The sequence below is a fragment of the Homo sapiens genome, chromosome X (genome assembly GCF_000001405.40).
Source record: "Homo sapiens chromosome X, GRCh38.p14 Primary Assembly".
NCBI classification, from domain to species: domain Eukaryota; kingdom Metazoa; phylum Chordata; class Mammalia; order Primates; family Hominidae; genus Homo; species Homo sapiens.
Window position 1 is genome coordinate 114,815,967 of NC_000023.11, and position 21,792 is coordinate 114,837,758.

A 21,792-nucleotide genomic window follows, 5' to 3' on the forward strand; every position below is an offset into this window, starting at 1 on the left:
TTCCTCCAAACTTCACTCTCTTCCCTCTCCAGCCTGCTTTGAAAAAGCTTATCTCATAAGCTTGAAGAGAATTAAGTATATCATACACAGTACTCCCAGAACATCATGTGTACTGCCTCTGTCATAGAATTTACAATGATGTACTGAAATTTGCTTGCATGTCTGTCTCTCTACTACACAGTAAATTCCTACTTACTAATATATAAAAATTCAAATGAAATATAATACGAATTGTATGACCAGGATGGAATCATAACTTTGAAGATGAGAGATGATAGATAGATAGGTAGATAGATAGATGATAGATAGATAGATAGATAGATAGATATTCAAATCCAAATGACCAACCGCATCACTTTGGGCATTTAATATTGCCAAATCTCAGTTTGTTTGTTTGTTTCTTTTTAGTTTTAATCTGTAACTACTTTATAAGGTTGTTGTGAGGAGTAAACGAGATAATGTAAAGTTTCCCAGAAAAAAAAAATAGTTAACTCATGCTAGTTTCATTCATCTCATGATTTTAGGGGTTGTTCAATACATTATGAAATATATAAATATGGTACTGCAGTAGGTTAAACACCATAAACTATAGTTCATCCTGGTAGAAGCTGAAAATCATTTAATAAACTTCAATGTATATTTATAATAAATACATTTCAAATATGAAAATAGGAAGGCCATCCCTTACTATATTACAAAGTAACAACCAGTATAATTATAATAATGTGTGGCTATAGGATTAGGAAGATTAAGCATAAAAAAATTACAGCAATAAGTCCTACTATGAGTGATAAATGAAGCATCAAAATCAATGATAAAAGAAAACATGTTAGATAAATTCAGCTTCTCATCTCATCTCACATATAAAAGTAAATTCTGGGAAGATGAAAATGTTGACGATTTAAAACCTATTCAAAGAAAAACAAGAATAATAGAATAGAATATTTATCCAACTATGTATTTATCCAGCATCTAAGATTAAAAAAAAATAGATGATTACACAAATGAGAAGACTGACAGATTTGCATGTAAATATAAAATGTTTATCTATGATAACTTTTGTTAATGTGAAGTGGATTGGGATTAAATAATTGCAGCAAACATAAACATAAGCAAAATTAAAAGATAAAGACTGGCATAAAATATTTGAGACAATTTTTAATAAGTTAGAATATTATATCATAAAATGTGTCTGTAGGTTTTTTTTAGGACAGTGTATAATGCACCTCCTATATACTGGAAAATGAATAGAAATGTAATATTTACATATTCTCATTTATAATTCTTTTCAAAACCACCATTGTCTACATTACTCTAAATTAGTAATATGCTTTCATTGTACAGAATTTTCTACAAATGCAATTTCTAAACTCTGTGAGATTATAGAAGTATAAAATGTGTTCATAACACAAAACTTACATTGGAGGCATCAGCAAAAATGGCTAAGTACTTTCAAAATTCTCTCCTTCATAAAAGCAGTAAGAAAATTTACAGAAATTCTCTGAATCAACTATTTCGGGACTTTGAAAATTAACTAAATGCTTGCAGCAACCCAGAATGTGTTTGTTTAAGAAAATGGCTGAATGTTGTTAAGAATAGCAATCTCCGTGACATTTTAACTTGTCCTATTCCCATTCCCCCTTCAAGTGCCATGGTAGCCTTAAAAACCAACATCCTACAATCATGTTGAAAACCTGCAGCCTGGCAGCTACTGGATGGGGGAAGGGAAGGGGTAGAATGAGGTTGCAGCTCCTTCAGAGCCTCATTTCCAGAGAATTTTCATTATTTGACTTGTCTGGTAGTTCCCTGGAAGCATTAACACCAATCCTTCAAAAACTACCAAAAAACAAAAATGGGAAGAATATTTCCCAATTCTGTTTATGAGGCCAATATTATCCTGATGCCAAAATCAAACAAGGACATCACAAGAAAACTACAGACCAAAACCCCTTACAAATATAGATGAAACAAATCCTGAGCAAATTACTAGCAAACTGAATCCAGCAGTATATAAGAAAGATTGAACACTGTGACAATGGTGTTATCTCAGAAATGCAAGGTTGTTTCAACATATGAAAATAAATCATTATAATACACTATATTAATAGAGTGAAAAACATAAACTACCTGATTACTTAAATGGACACCCAAAGAAACCATTTGAGAAAATCCAATACACTTTCATGGTAAAACAACAAACTAGGAATAGAAGGGAACTTCCACAACCTGATCAAGAGCTTTGTGAAAAGTGAGGCTTTGTGTAAAGTGAAGGACACACGTATATGAGTTTGTTGTGTTTATTTGATTAGAGAACCTTCACTACTACTGAAAATAGAGGATCTCAGTATCTAATGAAATTAAACTTCAGGTGTTCAAGTTCCTCATGAAATTTTCTTAGTGGTTTGAGTGAATTGCTTTTTAAAGCCTTCTCTCTTTCAAATAGTAATGTCTTTCATGAAAGCTAATGACTATCCTTATCAATATGCTTATTCTATGCAGCTAAAGCAGATACCTTTTGTGTGCCTGGATTATTTTTTCAATTGTACCCTAATATACATAGCATTTGCTCTATCCCTGATCACTTCAAGCAACAGCATTGAACATAAGAATAAATCATCTCCATCAATCAATACATCCACCACATCTCAGCTTCACCCTTCCTAGCTCTCTAGGTCAGAGGTCAGCTAACCACAGCCCATGGGCCAAATCCTGCTGGCTGCCTCTTTGGTAAAAACAGGCATACTAGAATAAAACCACATCCATTATTTTAAAGATTGTCTATGGCTGATTTCATCCTGCAATAGTAGAGTTGAGTAGTTGCAATGAAGATTGTATTGCCCACAAAGACTAAAATAGATACTATTTGGCCCTTTACAGAAAATGTTTGCTGTTGTTTGGCCTAAGATGCAGTGTTTTTATTTGTTAGTTTTGTTTTATGTGTGTATTTATTTATTTATTTTGCTTTGGCTTTCTTCTCTTAATTGCTGCAATTTTTTAAATGCCTTTTCTACTCCAATGTGCATTTATTTGCCCAATTTATTATTTAACTAATTTTGACCACATAATACTCCTCACTATATTATAAAACCATGAGAACAAGTATAATTTTACCTTCTGAATCATTATCTCCTTCTGCCCAGTAGATTTTAACAACTAAATATTTATTAAATACATAAATAAATGCTACATGGGTAAAATACTTCAAATTTATTTTGGAATAACAAAGAGAATAAATTTATTAAATACTCCAGTTCTCCTAAAACCCATTTCAATATTGTTCTAATCATACTAGCAAGTTGAATAATTTACTACTCTGAAAATGACATTTCTGTTATTAAATATAGTAGTTACTGTCAACTGAAATAAATGCATACATTTAGAAAAGGAGAGAAAAAAATTTATTTCTTATAAAGGGTTACAGCATTTGGAAGGAGGAGGTGTGGGGGTAGGTGCTTTATGATGAACAGGTTAGCTAAACATACATATTCAGCAGATTACAGGATGATCTGTGAATATTCATGAAAGGGGTTGTGACACATGCATATTGAATACACATGCATATAACATATGACCCATGTTTACTTTGGGATGAAGACTTAACTTTTACATGTATTACAATTAGGCCCTCTATATCAAAAGGTCTTTTCAGGACATGAAGGTGCACAAGTGCACAATCTCCGTAAGCCAGCCAGAACCAGTTCATAGTCAGTGGTCTTATCTGGAGAAAGCTAATGAAATCAGTCTCTTGTCCAGTCAGAGCTGTAGTTATAGCTTGTGGAACACGGGCTGAGGATCAGCCTAGTCAGCAGCTGGTGGAACTGAAAATTGTTTTAATATCACTTGTTTTGAGACCAGTGCTTGTTTAGCTGCTAGAGAAAAAGAAAATCCTTGTGACAGTTAGAACATAGTTTATTCTTTAAGTGCAGGAATGTGTGATTTAACCTTTGCCTGGCATGTCCTTAGATAATGTTTATAATCTAATATCTTATTGTCACATAGAGTCTGTTCTGTCAGCCTTTTAATCTCTATTTTAACATTAATGCTGGTCAGTTGTTCTGTCCAAACCACAAAATGGAGGGGGTGTAACAAGGTGTGTCTGACCTTCCATTCTGTCATGGCTGGGAACTCAGTTTTAAGGATTTTCTGCGTTCCCCTTTGCCAAGAGAGGGTCTGTTCTTTCAGTGGGGGGCATAGGATTTTATTTTTAAATTTTAAAATTTTTAACTTTGTTTTCTTTGGGGTACATAGTAGATATATAAATATTATAAAATATTATAAATAAATATTATGGGGTACATGAAATGTTTTGATACAGGAATGGAATGTATAATAGTCACATCATGAAGAAGGGGGTAGGAGTTTTTTTTAGTTTACATTACTTTAATATTGGACCCCTGAAACACACTGTCCTTTGTTTAAAAAAGTAAATTTGAAAAACTTTTAGGGAAATCTTAAAAAATGGCAATAATTTAATTTTAAACCACAATTTATCAGTCATATATACATGACTGATATATAGAGAACACAGCTTTATATATACAGTGTTTAGCTATTGATATGGTTTGGCTGTGTCCCCACCCAAATCTCAACTTGAATTGTATCTCCCAGAATTCCCACGTGTTATGGGAGGGACCCAGGGGGAGGTAATTGAATCATGGGGCCCAGTCTTTCTTGTGATAGTGAATAAGTCTCATGAGATCTCATGAGTTTATTAGGGGTTTCCGCTTTTGCTTCTTCCTCATTTTCTCTTGCTGCTGCCATGTAAGAAGGGCCTTTTGCCTCCTGTCATGATTCTGAGGCCTCCCCAGCCATGTGGAACTATAAGTCCAATTCAACCTCTTTTACTTCCCAGTCTCGGGTATGTCTTTAGCAGTAGCATGAAAACGGCCTAACACAGCTGTGAAGTTGTATATCAATATCACTTTCTGGTTCCCCTTAGAACCCTCAGGAGTTTCTCTTTTCTGTTAATTAAAATTTCACAGTCACTTTTAATCTATTATCATTATTCTGCAGAGTGAACTGTTTGAATAGAGAATCAATTAAAAGCATAGCACAGTAAAACGTGGGGATGTTTTGCAACTTGGGCATATGAAAAGTAGTGAATAAGAATCATTTTCAACCTATGATATGAAAGAAGGGAGATCCTGGGGGCATCCATAGTCAAACACTTGGTTGTACACTTGGAGATGTTTTTTCAAGCCTTGGATTATTACTAACAGTAAACAAGAAATTCACTAACTAGAGAAAGCAGATATGAGTACGTACAGACTATCAGATCACAAACAGCAGTTAGTAAGGTGATCTAACTAAAAGCTGTAGATGGTGTCTCTTTGAACTAATGCTACTTTGAGCGGTCTAAAAGCATGATTGCTACATGATGCTTTAAGAAATCTGCCTAGTACCTGACAGCATATTGTTCATACTAGTATCTGTAGCTGTAAATTTAGATTTTAATAATTGTTTGGTACATATTAATATATAATTTTAAGATAAAAAGGAAATTGATTTTATAGGTTATATCCTATATCTTTGGCTTAAAATATATTGTAGAAAATAATGTATCCCATCAAATTCCATGGTAAATTAGTGAGTCACAGCGAAAGTTAGAAACACTGGCCTACAACTTTTAATGATTAATTACTTGGCCATGAATAAGCCATACATTATTTAGATGTATATTTAATTTTAAAGAAATCTGCATTTTAATATTTCTGAATATGTCATTAGTTATTAAGAAGATTACTATAAAAAGCAGTATTCAAAAATATATTTTACAGTTTACTTTAGTTTTTAGTGAACATTAGAATGATAGCATGGCCATGTTGTTTATCACTGAAGCACCTAGGAGAGTTAGCAAATGTTAATCCTGCTAGTGTCATCAAGACTAAACAAATTATAAAGACTAAATATCCTTTTTTTTTTTTTTTTTTGAGATGGAGTCTCACTCTGTCTCTGAGGCTGGAGTGCAGTGGCACGATTTTGGCTTACTCCTACCTCAGCCTCCCAAGTAGCTGGGCTTACAGGCACGCAACATCACCCCTAGATAATTTTTGTATTTTTAGTAGAGATGGGGTTTCGCCATGTTGGCCAGGCTGGTCTCGAACTCCTGACCTCAGGTGATCCACCCACTTTGGCCTCCTAAAGTGCTGGGATTATAGGCGTGAGCCAACATGCCTGGCAAGATTAAATATACTTTTAAAAAATTATATTTTTTTCTATTGACTTAGAAATCACTCTACATTAATGACATAGTCAAAGAGATTTTACTTTTGTTCTCTTGTAAATAAAATACCAGATTAAAGGTATGCTTAATGTGATAAAGTAAAGCCAAAATCCAAACCAGAAAATCTAGAGTCATAAAGTTAAAGCCACAATTATATCTTATTCTCTTACCTACTCATTTCTTTTTCCCCACTACTGAGAGGATAGAGTCACATAGTACAAATCAGCAGAAGTCCTCATTATTATATTCTTGCTTAGGCAAGAATTCATGATTGCTTCTTTGTCCTTATCCCTTTTCCACCACTCAAGATCCATACAATAGAAGAAATAGAGAATCATTTAATAAAGTTGTCTTCCATTCAACTCTGAAGAAAATATCAACAGAGAAATGGAAGTCTTTTCCATGCACTCATAGGTAAAGTTTTGAGATCAGCTTGAAAGGAGGTAGCTCAATTGGAAATTACATAAAAAATTCCAGGAAAGATGGGTTGTGAGACTATCTCAGAAGAGAAAATCTAGGGTTTGTTTGTTTGTTTGTTTGAAGATATTGTAGATTGTATTGAACCTCTCAGGTGTCAGGTCCTGATGAAATTGTAGGCTCACAAAATTTTGCAGATAGGAAAGTTCTTGGTGCTGAGAGACTTGAGATGAGCAAGTACATAATGCAGAATTTGCTAAGCTAAATGAACAGGGCTGATTGAATTTGTCCTTAGCTAAGTTTCTTTATTTTGTAATGTGGTGGTCACATTGCAGAGCCGCAGAGCCTAGGATCTCATGATGCTTCTAGGCCTGTGTTTTTGGCAACTAAATTGTGATACATCTGGGATAGCTTTGGTAAAAAGTGTGTGCAGCCCATCTGGGGTCTTCCAGCCATAGAATTCCTCTACTGTCATGTAAGAAGTCTGTTTATATGATTTAGAAGCAGGTAATACAGGTTGACTAAATTGGAAGTGGAGCTGGGCAGTGTTTGTAACCCAGAAAATATCTTGGTACCTATAAGTGTCAGGAGATTTTTCTCCTTTTATTTAATTGGTGGGAAATGATATTTTTGAGATAAGGGGTTTAAGTTCAAGTAAGAGATGAGTTATTGGTTGACAAGCTTTTGGATCATTTAGGCTACTTGTAATCACAACCAGTTCATCAGGAAAAGACCACCAGGCCAGAAGAGGCTTTCATGACAGCATTTACACAGAGAAGCATCAATCAATGTCAAGCCTTTCAGCAGAAACTGGAACTTCATGGTGCAGCAGTTCATCTTCGCATGGGCCGGGAGGTTGAACATCCTGCATAGTGCTGCCAGGAAATCCCTATTTCATATAAGAGGGGGCTGGCTGGTTGCATATGTAGGATGTCCCATCTCCCAGCCCACTTCGTCATGACAGACACCAGAAACACCACTCTGCTTCACTGAAGAACAATAAAATCTGCGTGTCATGGAAACACAGATGCTAGAGCTGCATCACTAGAAAGGCATTCTGACAAATGTATTTAGAGGAGGGTAGAGTACTGACTGCTATGACCTTGGCTCATAAGAGGCAGTGGGTATGTGAGTGGATCTTTAAGCTCAGGGCCAGTAGATCTGCATTAAACCATATTAGCAACAACACTGGCCACACAGATAATGCCTCCAGAATTGTGCCACCTACTCTCAGAGCTACACCGAATTAGGGAGATTCAATAGTTGGGCATATTTATTTAGGCTAGCCAGAGCCAAATACCTAGAGGTAGAGAGAATCTAATTCTTAATTATAGAAAAAAACAAAGATTATATCCTGAAAAGCAGCCTAGAATTTCAAGTCTGAGGGTCAAGGTAAGATAGTAAATTAAAAAATATGTCTCAAAGTCAGAAGAAGGATATTTGGGAGGAGTATTCCAGAGAAGAACTAACAATTCTAAATTGAGCAGAAACAGTCTATTACACTTTGAGGCAAGAATCAAGTTACAAGGAAGTAGGTGTGATTGCAAAGGGAGAAAGTTAGCGGCATGTCCCTACAAATATTTCAGAGATATAATTTCTGTCAGCTGCAGTATCCAATCATATCCAGGGAATTCTGTCAAAAGCAAGGTGATAGGAAATATCGAGAGCAGGGCCCAGCTCTTAAAAACATAGGGCAGGATTAAAAGTAATGCAAAATCCAGCCAATCCTAGCGGCCCTTCTACTTCTGGATTGGTACAGGAAGGATATAATCTCAGAATAGAAATAAGCCATTTAAATGGAATATATTTAGCTTTATAAATAATTGGCTGTTATACATAATTTTCCATTTTCACTTTAGACTGCTGAAATTTCACTATGGATCTTTATATGAAAATGACTAATCTGTAGGAGATGCTACTGGCAGAGAATCAATTATGTCAACAGCACAAACTTGAGTTGTATCCTGGGATGCTATCGAGTTTTCCACTGACTTTAAATTAGGGTCAAGTTAAACAGGCCATCTCCAAAGACTTTGGGGTTCTAAAAAATGTTGATTTGCTATGCATTCGAATCTGGGATGAGTTTCTAGTCAACCATCCTGGCTTTGGCATTCTTCACAGTGGATGGTAAGTGGGCCAATCTTAGGCTGAAAAACAGGCTGATTTAGGGTTTGGGATTTAGAGCATTTATATCTCTTTATTTTCCTCAGCAGCACAGACTCTCCATTGGAATTAGGGGCTTAGTGAATAGTTCAAAAAACGTATGGTTTCATATACAAGGACCCCAAAGTTCCATGCAAATGTATGAGCATACTGTTATGTATAATACCCATGTAATTTCTGTAGAGTCTATAGAGATATCACCTCTTTGATCACTGATAATTGATAATGTGTGGCTTCTACCTTTAATTCTTAGTCGATCTGTTGAGAGGTTTATCAGTTTTATTGATCTATTCCCAATAAAGTGCAGCATTTTATTTCATTGAATTCTCAATATTATAGTATTGCCTAAATTTTATTGATTTCTGCTTTTATATTTATTTATTTCTTCTGGTACTTGGATTTCATTTTTCCTTTTTTGCCTAGCACTTTAATTTTGGAAGCTTAGATCATGGATTTGAGTTTTCTTTTCTAAAATAAACCATTAACGTTAGAAAATTCCCTTTGAGTACTACTTTAGCACCATCAGACAAATTTTAGTACGTTTTGTTTTCATTTTAATTTACTTCAAATTATTTTTTAACTTCATTTGCCTTTTCCTTTTGAAACATGAATTATTTAGAATTGTGTTATTTAATTTGCAAATATTTGAACATTTTCAAGATATCTGTTTTATTTGTTTTCAGGTTAATTCTGTTATACTCAGACAACACACGTTGTTTGATTGCAACCATTTTAATTTCTTCAGGTATATTTTATGAGCCAGAATATGGTCTTTCCTGGTCAATTTTCCATAGTTCTTGAAAAGAATGTGTACTTTCCTGTTGTCAGGTGGTATGTTTTATCAATGTCAATTAGGTCAAGTTTGTTGGTAATGCTGTTCAGTTCTTTTACCTCAGTGATAATTTTCTGTATGCTTTTCTGTCAATTAACTGAGGAAGGGGTGTTGAAATCTTGAAGTGTAATTGTAATTCTACTTTTGATTTCTTCTTTCTGCTCTACCATTGTTGTGCTTCATGAATTTTGAAGCCCTGTTATTATATTTTAAATGTTATTATATTTTAAATGTATTATAAACGTTTAGGACTGTTATATTCCCTCGATGAATTGACACCTTTATCATTATAAAATGGTCTGTGTTACCTCTGGTGATATCCGATGATCTGCAATTTACTTTATCTGTTATTAATATAAAAATTCTAGCATTTGTTTAATTAGTGTTTGCACAGTATATCTTTTATCCATACTTTTATTATACAGGTTGAGCATCTCTAGTCCCAAAATCTGAAATCTGAAATAATCCAAAATCAAAAACTTTTTTTTTTTTTTTGAGACAGGGTTTTTCTTTGTTGCCCAGTCTGGAGGGCCATGGCACAATCATGCAGCCTCAAACTCCTAGGCTCAGGTGATCCTCCTGCCTCAGCCTCCTGAGTAGCTGGGACCACAGGTGTATGCCACGATGCCGGGCTAAGTTTTTAAAGTATTTGTAGAGACAGGATCTCCCTATGTTTCCCAGGCTGGTCTCCTGGGTTCAAGTGATCCTCCCACCTCAGCCTCCCAAAGTGCTGAGATTACAGGCATGAGCCACCATGACCAGCCAAAATACAAAGCTTTTTGAACATCTATATGGTGCCACAAGTAGAAAATTTCTCAGCTGACCTCATGTGACTGGTCACAGTCAAAATGCCATCAAAACTTTGTTTCATGCACAAAATTATTTGCAATATTGCATAAAATTAACTTCAGGCCAAAAAATAAATGAATTTCACGTGTAGACTTGAGTTCCATCCCCAACATGTCTTATTATGTATATGCAAATATTCCAAAATATCAAAATGTCCAAAATCTGAGACTCTTCTAATCCCAGGCATTTCAGATAAAGGATGCTCAGCTTGTACAACTATCTATATTATTAAATTTAAATTTGTAGAGTTTCTTATAGACAGCATATAATTGTGTCTTGTTTATTTTTATTCTCAATTTTAATCCAAAATCGCTATCTCTTTCCTTGAATTGGTGTGTTTATACCATTTAGATTTAATGCAATTATTGATTTGTTTGGACTTATGTCTACCGTGTTTTGTTTTCTATTTATCCCTTGTCTTTTCCACTCTTTTATTTCCTATAGGAATGGGAAACATTCTTTTGTTTCCTAATTCTGATTTATTATGTTTTTTTCTTTTTATTTGAGTATTTCAATTTTATTGATCTATTGGCTTTTTTACTATATTTCTTTGTACAGTTTTTTTGTTTGTTAAGTGACAATGCTCTGAATTAAAATATACCTGTATATTATAAGTATCCCTTATCCAAAATTCTTGGGACCACAATGCTTTGGATTTTGAATTTTATTAGATTTTGGAATATTTTCATTATAGTTAACAGTTCAGCATCCCTAATCCAAAATTCCAAAATCCAAACTGCTCCAATGAGTATTTCCCTTAAGCATTATCTCAGTGCTCAAAAAGTTTAGATTTTGGAGAATTTGGGATTTCAGGTTTTCAGATTAGAAATATTCAACCTATATATACATATTTTTTCCAAGTTTCTTACCCTTAATATTTTATCACATCAAGTGAAAGATAAAACCATATATGCTCCTTTATCCTCCTTTTTTTGGTCTTAGTTGTAATATGGATTACATCTACATGCATTGAGAACCTTATCAGACAATGTTACAAAATTTTTGCTTCTGAGAATCATATGTATTTTAAAGACTTAAGAAAAATTATTATATTTTCTAAGATATTTACCGTTTCTGTTGTTCTTCCTTTGTTCCTGATGTTTTCCTTTAGTGTAATTTTCCTTTAGTGTAATTTCCTTTAGTGTTTTCCTTTAGTGTAATTTCCTTCTGCCTGAAAAACATCCTTTAACATTTTTAGACCAAGTCTCCTAGTTTAGAGAGACTTGTTTTAGAGCAATGAGTTCCTAGTTTCCCTTCACCTGAGAATCTCTTTATTTCACATTCATTTGTGAAATATATTTCCACTGGATATGGAATTTTGAATTGATAGCTCCTTTCTTTCAGGCTTTTAAATTTGTGGTTACACTACCTTCTGGTTTTCATGGTTTCTGATGCAAAATCTGAAGATATGCAACTTTCAATGTTTTTGTCTTTATCTTTTATTTTGACCAGTTTGATTATGATGATCTAGGTATGATTTTTTTTTTGGTTTAAACATTTGAGTTTTACAGAACTTCTTAAATCTGTAAATTTTTTCCCCCCAAATGCGGCATGTTTTGGACCATTATTTCTTCAAATAGTATTTCTTCATCAATTTTTCTCCTCTCCTTATAAAATTCCAATGATACAAATGTTAAACATATAGTTATTGTCCCACAGATCCCCACTATGTTCATTTATTTTTAATTTTTTCACACTGTTGTTCAGATTATATAATTTATATGGATCTAACTTTAGTTTTCATGACTCTTTATCTGTCATCTCTACTCTTCTATTGAGTCCATTCAATGATCTTTTTTCAAATATTGTATTTTTTGAGCTCCAAGCTTTCAGTTGGTTCTTTTTAATAAATTATACTCATTATTTGAGAACTCCTACCTTTCTATTCATTTCAAGAGAGGCCGCCTTCCTTCACTGAGCATGATTAGGGTAGCTGCCTTGAAGTCTTTGTCTACAAATTCCAACATTTGCGTTATCGAAGGGTTGCTGTCTTTGATTCTCTTTTTCCTTAAGAATTTTTGAGATTTTTCTAATTCTGTGTATATTTGGATAAAACATTTTGTATCTTTGACACTTTGAATATTATGTCTTGAGATCTGGATCCTTTATTATTGAGATAAAATTCATATAACAAAATTAACAATTAACCATTTAAAAGTATACAATTCTGTGGTATTTAGTACATTCACAATGATGTCCAACCGTCATCTCTATCCAGTACCAAGATATTTTATCACTACTTCCAAAAAAATTCCATATCCATTAAGTAGCTTTTCTACATTGCCCCATTCCTCAGCCTCTGGAAAACACTAGTCTCCTATCTGTCTTTAAGGATTTACCTATTCTGAATATTTCGTATAAATAAAGTCATACAATATGTGATCTTTTGCATCTGGCTTCTTTCACTTAGCATGATGCTTTCAAAGTTCAACCATAATGTGCCATGTATTTGTAATTCACTCTTTTTATGGTTGAATAATACTCCATTATCTGAATATAGTACATTCTGTTTATTCATCTGTCAGTTGATAGATATTTGGGTTGTTTCCTCCTTTTGGCTATAGTGAAAAGTACCACTATAAAGAGTCATGTCAAATACTTGCTTGAGTATCTATAAATAGAATTGCTAGGTCATATGGTAATTCCGTGTTTGGCTTTTAAAGGAACTAACAAGCTGTTTTCCACAGTGACGGCACCGTTTCACTTTATCACCAACAATGTATGAGGTTTCCAATTTTTTCTCCACATCCTCACCAAGACTTGACATTTCTCATTTTGTTTTTGGTTTTGTGTTTACGGTCAACCTGGTGGGAGTGAAGTGGTTTCTCATGGTGGTTTTCATTTATATTTCTCTAATGACTAATGATGCTGAGCATATTTTCATATGCTTGTTGGCCATTTGTATATCTCATTTGGAGAAATGTCTATTCAAGTTCCTTACCCATTTTTTATTTGCAAATATTTTCTTGCATTCTGTGGGCTGTTTTTACACTCTTCTGATAGCACTCTGATGCAGAAAAAATTTTTAATTTAATGATGTCCAATTTTTCTATCTTTTCTGCTAATGCTACTGGTGTCATATCTAAGAAACCATTGCCAAATCCAAGGTCACTAAGATTTACCCCTGTGTCCTTTTCTAAGTGTTTTGTACCTTTGGTTTTTATATCTGGATCTTTGGACCATTTTGAGTTAAATTTTGTGTATGTTGTGAGGTGAGGGTTCAACTTCAATCTTTTGCACGTGATATCTACATGCAATTTTCCCAGCATTATTTGTTGAAGGGACTGTTGTTTTCCATTGGAAGGTATTGTCACAAGTGTAAAACTCAGCTGACTGCAGATAAATAGGTTTATTTCTGGCCTCTCAATCCTATTCTATTAATCTATGTCTATCCTTATACTTGTACCACATTGTTTGATTATAATAGCTTTCCAGTGAATCTTGAAATTGGGAATTCTGAGTCCTAAAATTTTTTTCTCCTTTTCAAGATTGTTTTGGCTATTCGAGATCCCTTAAGATTAAATATTTATTTTAGGATTAGCATTTCCATTTCTGCCAACAAACACATTAGGGTTTTGATAGGGATTGCATTAAATCTGTAGGTCACTTTGAAAAGTATTGCCATTTTAACAATATTAAATGTTCCAATCCATGAACATGGCCTAACTTTCAAAATTTTAGTTGCCTGCAGAGCTCCTGGTGTATAGTGGTGTTGCCACTATAGATGGGCAATTTAATGATCGATGCTTGCCTCCTTTTATGCCAGGATAGAAAAAGTGAAGCAAAGAAATCTCTCTGTTTTATGCCTGTCCTCTTGTCCCCTGGGAAGACAGTATTTTTCTTGGAGGTTTCTTTCTGCACATCCACTACACAGTTTGAAGATTTCGGGCCGTACTAAAATCTAAGCCAGGAGGTAAGGGAAGTGGGAAGGGAAAGGAAAATAATTCTTTTATTGGTCATTGTTTAACTTTTATTGTCTTGCCCAATTAGTCTGCTGTTATTTATTTTTCACATACCTCAGTTACTTGTTTTGGGTATATGTGCACAGGTTTTAGTTGTAATCTATAGGAGAGATAGGATGAAATGTGCTTACTTCAGTTTTGCCAGACCTGAAAGACTTTTAATTGGTAACTTTTTATTTTTTTATTTATTTATTTTTTTTAGTTTCTTTATATTTTATTTTATTTTTTTTAAGAGTTAAAGAGATAAACTTTATTTTATTTTTTTATGGAGAGTGCTGTTTTTTGTTTTTTTTATTATTATACTTTAAGTTTTAGTGTACATGTGCACATTGTGCAGGTTAGTTACATATGTATACATGTGCCATGCTGGTGCGCTGCACCCACTAACTCATCATCTAGCATTAGGTATATCTCCCAATGCTATCCCTCCCCCCTCCCCCCCACCCCACAACAGTCCCCAGAGTGTGATATTCCCCTTCCTGTGTCCATGTGATCTCATTGTTCAATTCCCACCTATGAGTGAGAATATGCGGTGTTTGGTTTTTTGTTCTCGCGATAGTTTACTGAGAATGATAATTTCCAATTTCATCCATGTCCCTACAAAGGACATGAACTCATCATTTTTTATGGCTGCATAGTATTCCATGGTGTATATGTGCCACATTTTCTTAATCCAGTCTATCATTGTTGGACATTTGGGTTGGTTCCAAGTCTTTGCTATTGTGAATAATGCCGCAATAAACATACATGTGCATGTGTCTTTATAGCAGCATGATTTAGAGTTCTTTGGGTATATACCCAGTAATGGGATGGCTGGGTCAAATGGTATTTCTAGTTCTAGATCCCTGAGGAATCGCCACACTGACTTCCACAATGGTTGAACTAGTTTACAGTCCCACCAACAGTGTAAAAGTGTTCCTATTTCTCCACATTCTCTCCAGCACCTGTTGTTTCCTGACTTTTTAATGATTGCCATTCTAACTGGTGTGAGATGGTATCTCCTAGTGGTTTTGATTTGCATTTCTCTGATGGCCAGTGATGATGAGCATTTTTTCATGTGTTTTTTGGCTGCATAAATGTCTTCTTTTGAGAAGTGTCTGTTCATGTCCTTTGCCCACTTTTTGATGGGGTTGTTTGTTTTTTTCTTGTAAATTTGTTGGAGTTTATTGTAGATTCTGGATATTAGCCCTTTGTCAGATGAGTAGGTTGCGAAAATTTTCTCCCATTTTGCAGGTTGCTTGTTCACTCTGATGGTAGTTTCTTTTGCTGTGCAGAAGCTCTTTAGTTTAATTAGATCCCATTTGTCAATTTTGGCTTTTGTTGCCATTGCTTTTGATGTTTTAGACATGAAGTCCTTGCCCATGCCTATGTCCTGAATGGTAATGCCTAGGTTTTCTTCTAGGGTTTTTATGGTTTTAGGTCTAACGTTTAAGTCTTTAATCCATCTTGGATTGATTTTTGTATAAGGTGTAAGGAAGGGATCCAGTTTCAGCTTTCTACATATGGCTAGCCAGTTTTCCCAGCACCATTTATTAAATAGGGAATCCTTTCCCCATTGCTTGTTTTTGTCAGGTTTGTCAAAGATCAGATAGTTGTAGATATGCGGCGTTATTTCTGAGGGCTCTGTTCTGTTCCATTGATCTATATCTCTGTTTTGGTACCAGTACCATGCTGTTTTGGTTACTGTAGCCTTGTAGTATAGTTTGAAGTCAGGTAGTGTGATGCCTCCAGCTTTGTTCTTTTGGCTTAGGATTGACTTGGCGATGCGGGCTCTTTTTTGGTTCCATATGAACTTTAAAGTAGTTCTTTCCAATTCTGTGAAGAAAGGCATTGGTAGCTTGATGGGTATGGCATTGAATCTGTAAATTACCTTGGGCAGTATGGCCATTTTCACGATATTGATTCTTCCTACCCATGAGCATGGAATGTTCTTCCATTTGTTTGTATCCTCTTTTATTTCCTTGAGCAGTGGTTTGTAGTTCTCCTTGAAGAGGTCCTTCACATCCCTTGTAAGTTGGATTCCTAGGTATTTTATTCTCTTTGAAGCAATTGTGAATGGGAGTTCACTCATGATTTGTCTCTCTGTTTGTCTGTTGTTGGTGTATAAGAATGCTTGTGATTTTTGTACATTGATTTTGTATCCTGAGACTTTGCTGAAGTTGCTTATGACCTTAAGGAGATTTTGGGCTGAGACAATGGGGTTTTCTAGATATACAATCATGTCGTCTGCAAACAGGGGCAATTTGACTTCCTCTTTTCCTAATTGAATACCCTTTATTTCTTTCTCCTGCCTAATTGTCCTGGCCAGAACTTCCAACACTATGTTGAATAGGAGTGGTGAGAGAGGGCATCCCTGTCTTGTGCCAGTTTTCAAAGGGAATGCTTCCAGTTTTTGCCCATTCAGTATGATATTGGCTGTGGGTTTGTCATAGATAGCTCTTATTATTTTGAAATACGTCCCATCAATACCTAATTTATTGAGAGTTTTTAGCATGAAGGGTTGTTGAATTTTGTCAAAGGCTTTTTCTGCATCTATTGAGATAATCATGTGGTTTTTGTCTTTGGCTCTGTTTATATGCTGGATTACAATTATTGATTTGCATATATTGAACCAGCCTTGCATCCCAGGGATGAAGCCCACTTGATCATGGTGGATAAGCTTTTTGATGTGCTGCTGGATTCGTTTTGCCAGTATTTTATTGAGGATTTTTGCATCAATGTTCATCAAGGATATTGGTCTAAAATTCTCCTTTTTGGTTGTGTCTCTACCCGGCTTTGGTATCAGAATGATGCTGGCCTCATAAAATGACTTAGGGAGGATTCCCTCTTTTTCTATTGATTGGAATAATTTCAGAAGGAATGGTACCAGTTCCTCCTTGTACCTCTGGTAGAATTCGCCTGTGAATCCATCTGGTCCTGGACTCTTTTTGGTTGGTAAACTATTGATTATTGCCACAATTTCAGATCCTGTTATTGGTCTGTTCAGAGATTCAACTTCTTCCTGGTTTAGTCTTGTGAGAGTGTATGTGTCGAGGAATTTATCCATTTCTGCTAGATTTTCTAGTTTATTTGCGTAGAGGTGTTTGTAGTATTCTCTGATGGTAGTTTGTATTTCGGTGGGATTAGTGGTGATATCCCCTTTATCATTTTTTATTGTGTCTATTTGATTCTTCTCTCTTTTTTTCTTTATTAGTCTTGCTAGCAGTCTATCAATTTTGTTGATCCTTTCAAAAAACCAGCTCCTGGATTCATTAATTTTTTGAAGGGTTTTTTGTGTCTCTATTTCCTTCAGTTCTGCTCTTATTTTAGTTATCTCTTGCCTTCTGCTAGCTTTTGAATGTGTTTGCTCTTGCTTTTCTAGTTCTTTCAATTGTGATGTTAGGGTGTCAATTTTGGATCTTTCCTGCTTTCTCTTGTGGGCATTTAGTGCTATAAGTTTCCCTCTACATACTGCTTTGAATGCATCCCAGAGATTCTGGTATGTTGTGTCTTTGTTCTCGTTGGTTTCAAAGAACATCTTTATTTCTGCCTTCATTTTGTTATGTACCCAGTAGTCATTCAGGAGCAGGTTGTTCAGTTTCCATGTAGTTGAGCGGTTTTGAGTGAGATTCTTAATCCTGAGTTCTAGTTTGATTGCAGTGTGGTCTGAGAGATAGTTTATTATAATCTCTGTTCTTTTACATTTGCTGAGGAGAGCTTTACTTCCAAGTATGTGGTCAATTTTGGAATAGGTGTGGTGTGGTGCTGAAAAAAATGTATATTCTGTTGATTTGGGGTGGAGAGTTCTGTAGATGTCTATTAGGTCCGCTTGATGCAAGGCTGAGTTCAATTCCTGGGTATCCTTGTTGACTTTCTGTCTCGTTGATCTGTCTAATGTTGACAGTGGGGTGTTAAAGTCTCCCATTATTAATGTGTGGGAGTCTAAGTCTCTTTGTAGGTCACTCAGGACTTGCTTTATGAATCTGGGTGCTCCTGTATTGGGTGCATATATATTTAGGATAGTTAGCTCTTCTTGTTAAATTGATCCCTTTACCATTATGTAATGGCCTTGTTTGTCTCTTCTGATCTTTGTTGATTTAAAGTCTGTTTTATCAGAGACTAGGATTGCAACCCCTGCTTTTCTTTTTTTGTTTTCCATTTGCTTGGTAGATCTTCCTCCATCCTTTTATTTTGAGCCTATGTGTGTCTCTGCACGTGAGATGGGTTTCCTGAATACAGCACACTGATGGGTCTTGACTCTTTATCCAATTTGCCAGTCTGTGTCTTTTAATTGGAGCATTTAGTCCATTTACATTTAAAGTTAATATTGTTATGTGTGAATTTGATCCTGTCATTATGATGTTAGCTGGGTATTTTGCTCGTTAGTTGATGCAGTTTCTTCCTAGTCTCGATGGTCTTTACATTTTGGCATGATTTTGCAGCGGCTGGTACCAGTTGTTCCTTTCCATGTTTAGCGCTTCCTTCAGGAGCTCTTTTAGGGCAGGACTGGTGGTGACAAAATCTCTCAGCATTTGCTTGTCTGTAAAGTATTTTATTTCTCCTTCACTTATGAAGCTTAATTTGGCTGGATATGAAATTCTGGGTTGAAAATTCTTTTCTTTAAGAATGTTGAATATTGGCCCTCACTCTCTTCTGGCTTGTAGGGTTTCTGCCGAGAGATCCGCTGTTAGTCTGATGGGCTTCCCTTTGAGGATAACCCGACCTTTCTCTCTGGCTGCCCTTAACATTTTTTCCTTCATTTCAACTTTGGTGAATCTGACAATTATGTGTCTTGGAGTTGCTCTTCTCGAGGAGTATCTTTGTGGCATTCTCTGTATTTCCTGAATCTGAACGTTGGCCTGCCTTGCTAGATTGGGGAAGTTCTCCTGGATAATATCCTGCAGAGTGTTTTCCAACTTGGTTCCATTCTCCCCATCACTTTCAGGTACACCAATCAGACCTAGATTTGGTCTTTTCACATAGTCCCATATTTCTTGGAGGCTTTTTTGGTTTCCTTTTATTCTTTTTTCTCTAAACTTCCCTTCTCACTTCATTTCATTCATTTCATCTTCCATTGCTGATACCCTTTCTTCCAGTTGATCGCATCGGCTCCTGAGGCTTCTGCATTCTTCAGGTAGTTCTCGAGCCTTGGTTTTCAGTTCCATCAGCTCCTTTAAGCACTTCCCTGTATTGGTTATTCTAGTTATACATTCTTCTAAATTTTTTTCAAAGTTTTCAACTTGTTTGCCTTTGGTCTGAATGTCCTCCCGTAGCTCAGAGTAATTTGATCGTCTGAAGCCTTCTTCTCTCAGCTCATCAAAGTCATTCTCTATCCAGCTTTGTTCCATTGCTGGTGAGGAACTGCGTTCCTTTTGAGGAGGAGAGGCGCTCTGCTTTTTAGAGTTTCCAGTTTTTCTGTTCTGTTTTTTCCCCATCTTTGTGGTTTTATCTACTTTTGGTCTTTGATGATGGTGATGTACAGATGGGTTTTTGGTGTGGATGTCCTTTCTGTCTGTTAGTTTTCCTTCTAACAGACAGGACCCTCAGCTGCAGGTCTGTTGGAATACCCTGCCGTGTGAGGTGTCAGTGTGCCCCTGCTGGGGGGTGCCTCCCAGTTAGGCTGCTCGGGGGTCAGGGGTCAGGGACCCACTTGAGGAGGCAGTCTGCCCGTTCTCAGATCTCCAGCTGCGTGCTGTGAGAACCACTGCTCTCTTCAAAGCTGTCAGACAGGGACATTTAAGTCTGCAGAGGTTACTGCTATCTTTTTGTTTGTCTGTGCCCTGCCCCCGGAGGTGGAGCCTACAGAGGCAGGCAGGCCTCCTTGAGCTGTGGTGGGCTCCACCCAGTTCGAGCTTCCTGGCTGCTTTGTTTACCTAATCAAGCCTGGGCAATGGCGGGCGCCCCTCCCCCAGCCTCGCTGCCGCCTTGCAGTTTGATCTCAGACTGCTGTGCTAGCAATCAGCGAGACTCCGTGGGCGTAGGACCCTCCAAACCAGGTGCGGGATATAATCTGGTGGTGCGCCGTTTTTTAAGCCGGTCGGAAAAGCGCAGTATTCGGGTGAGAGTGACCCGATTTTCCAGGTGTGTCTGTCACCCCTTTCTTTGACTCAGAAAGGGAACTCCCTGACCCCTTGCGCTTCCCAAGTGAGGCAATGCCTCGCCCTGCTTCGGCTCGTGCACGGTGCGTGCACCCACTGACCTGCGCCCACTGTCTGTTACTCCCTAGTGAGATGAACCCAGTACCTCAGATGGAAATGCAGAAATCACCCGTCTTCTGCATCGCTCAGGCTGGGAGCTGTAGACCAGAGCTGTTCCTATTCGGCCATCTTGGCTCCTCCCCCTCGGTAACTTTTTAAAACATGTCATTTTATCATTGTATGTTGTTTTATGAAAACAAAATTGATTGATTTTTTTCAGATATTGACTTTATATACAACAACCTTTCTAAACTCGTTAATGCTCAACATTTATCTGTAAATTTTTTTATGTACACAATCATGTTTTCATTTTTCCTTTTAAGTCCTGAACATTTTTACTTTCATAACACAGTAATAAGTAACTCTAGTACAATGCACAATGGATGTTGTGATGGTAGACTTTCTTGTTTTTTTCCAACATTTAATTATTAAATATTTGAGAGACATACTTTAGTTTAAGAAAGTTAGAATCTTAGTTTGCTGAAATTTATTCAACTTGAACTACGTTGAGTTATATTTAAAAATGTGTGCCTACATTGACTTACTCACATAATTTTCTCCTTATTTGTTTACTGTGATACATCTTCAAGCTTTATTTTCAAAGTTATACTGGCCTCATGAAGTATGTTGGGAAATAATCCCCTTATTTATTCAAAGAATCTGTGTATGGTTGATGTTATTTTTTTCTTACATAGTTGATATCACAAGTAAATACATTTGGATCTACATTGTGCCATCCAAAGAATATAGTATGATATAATATCTCTTTAGATGTAGATTTATATTTTTCCATAAGATTTGGTGGTTATTTTGTTGTTGCTGTTTAATCTTTCTAATTTTAAATTAAGAGAGTACGTGTGCAGGTTTTGTGATTGTATTTTCATGTAGGACCTGTAATTATCTTGTTAAAGTTTTAATAAGATTTTTAATGAATTTTGTCACTGTTGCAAATAGACTATTTTCCCTTTTTCTATCTCTGGCACTTGTTCTTGGACTAGTTAAACCTCTAGATTATTTTATATTTATCTTGTATCCAGCCAGACTATTATATTCTCTCAGTAAATCCAGCATAGTTTTTAGAAGAGTCTCAGATTCGCTAGTCCTACAGTCAAAAAAAAAAAATCACCGATAAACAAGAGATCATTTTATACCTTGTTTTCCAAAGTTATA

General features: G+C 35.8%; 1 protein-coding gene and 1 non-coding gene across 4 annotated transcripts in view; both read left to right on the forward strand.

Moving 5' to 3' along the window:
* HTR2C (5-hydroxytryptamine receptor 2C) overlaps window positions 1–21,792 on the forward strand; it is a 325,976-nt gene that overhangs the window by 231,881 nt on the left and 72,303 nt on the right. The window lies entirely within an intron of this gene.
* MIR448 (microRNA 448) lies at window positions 7,488–7,598 on the forward strand. The gene has a single exon (NR_029955.1). It is a non-coding gene; the product is annotated as a microRNA 448 (primary transcript).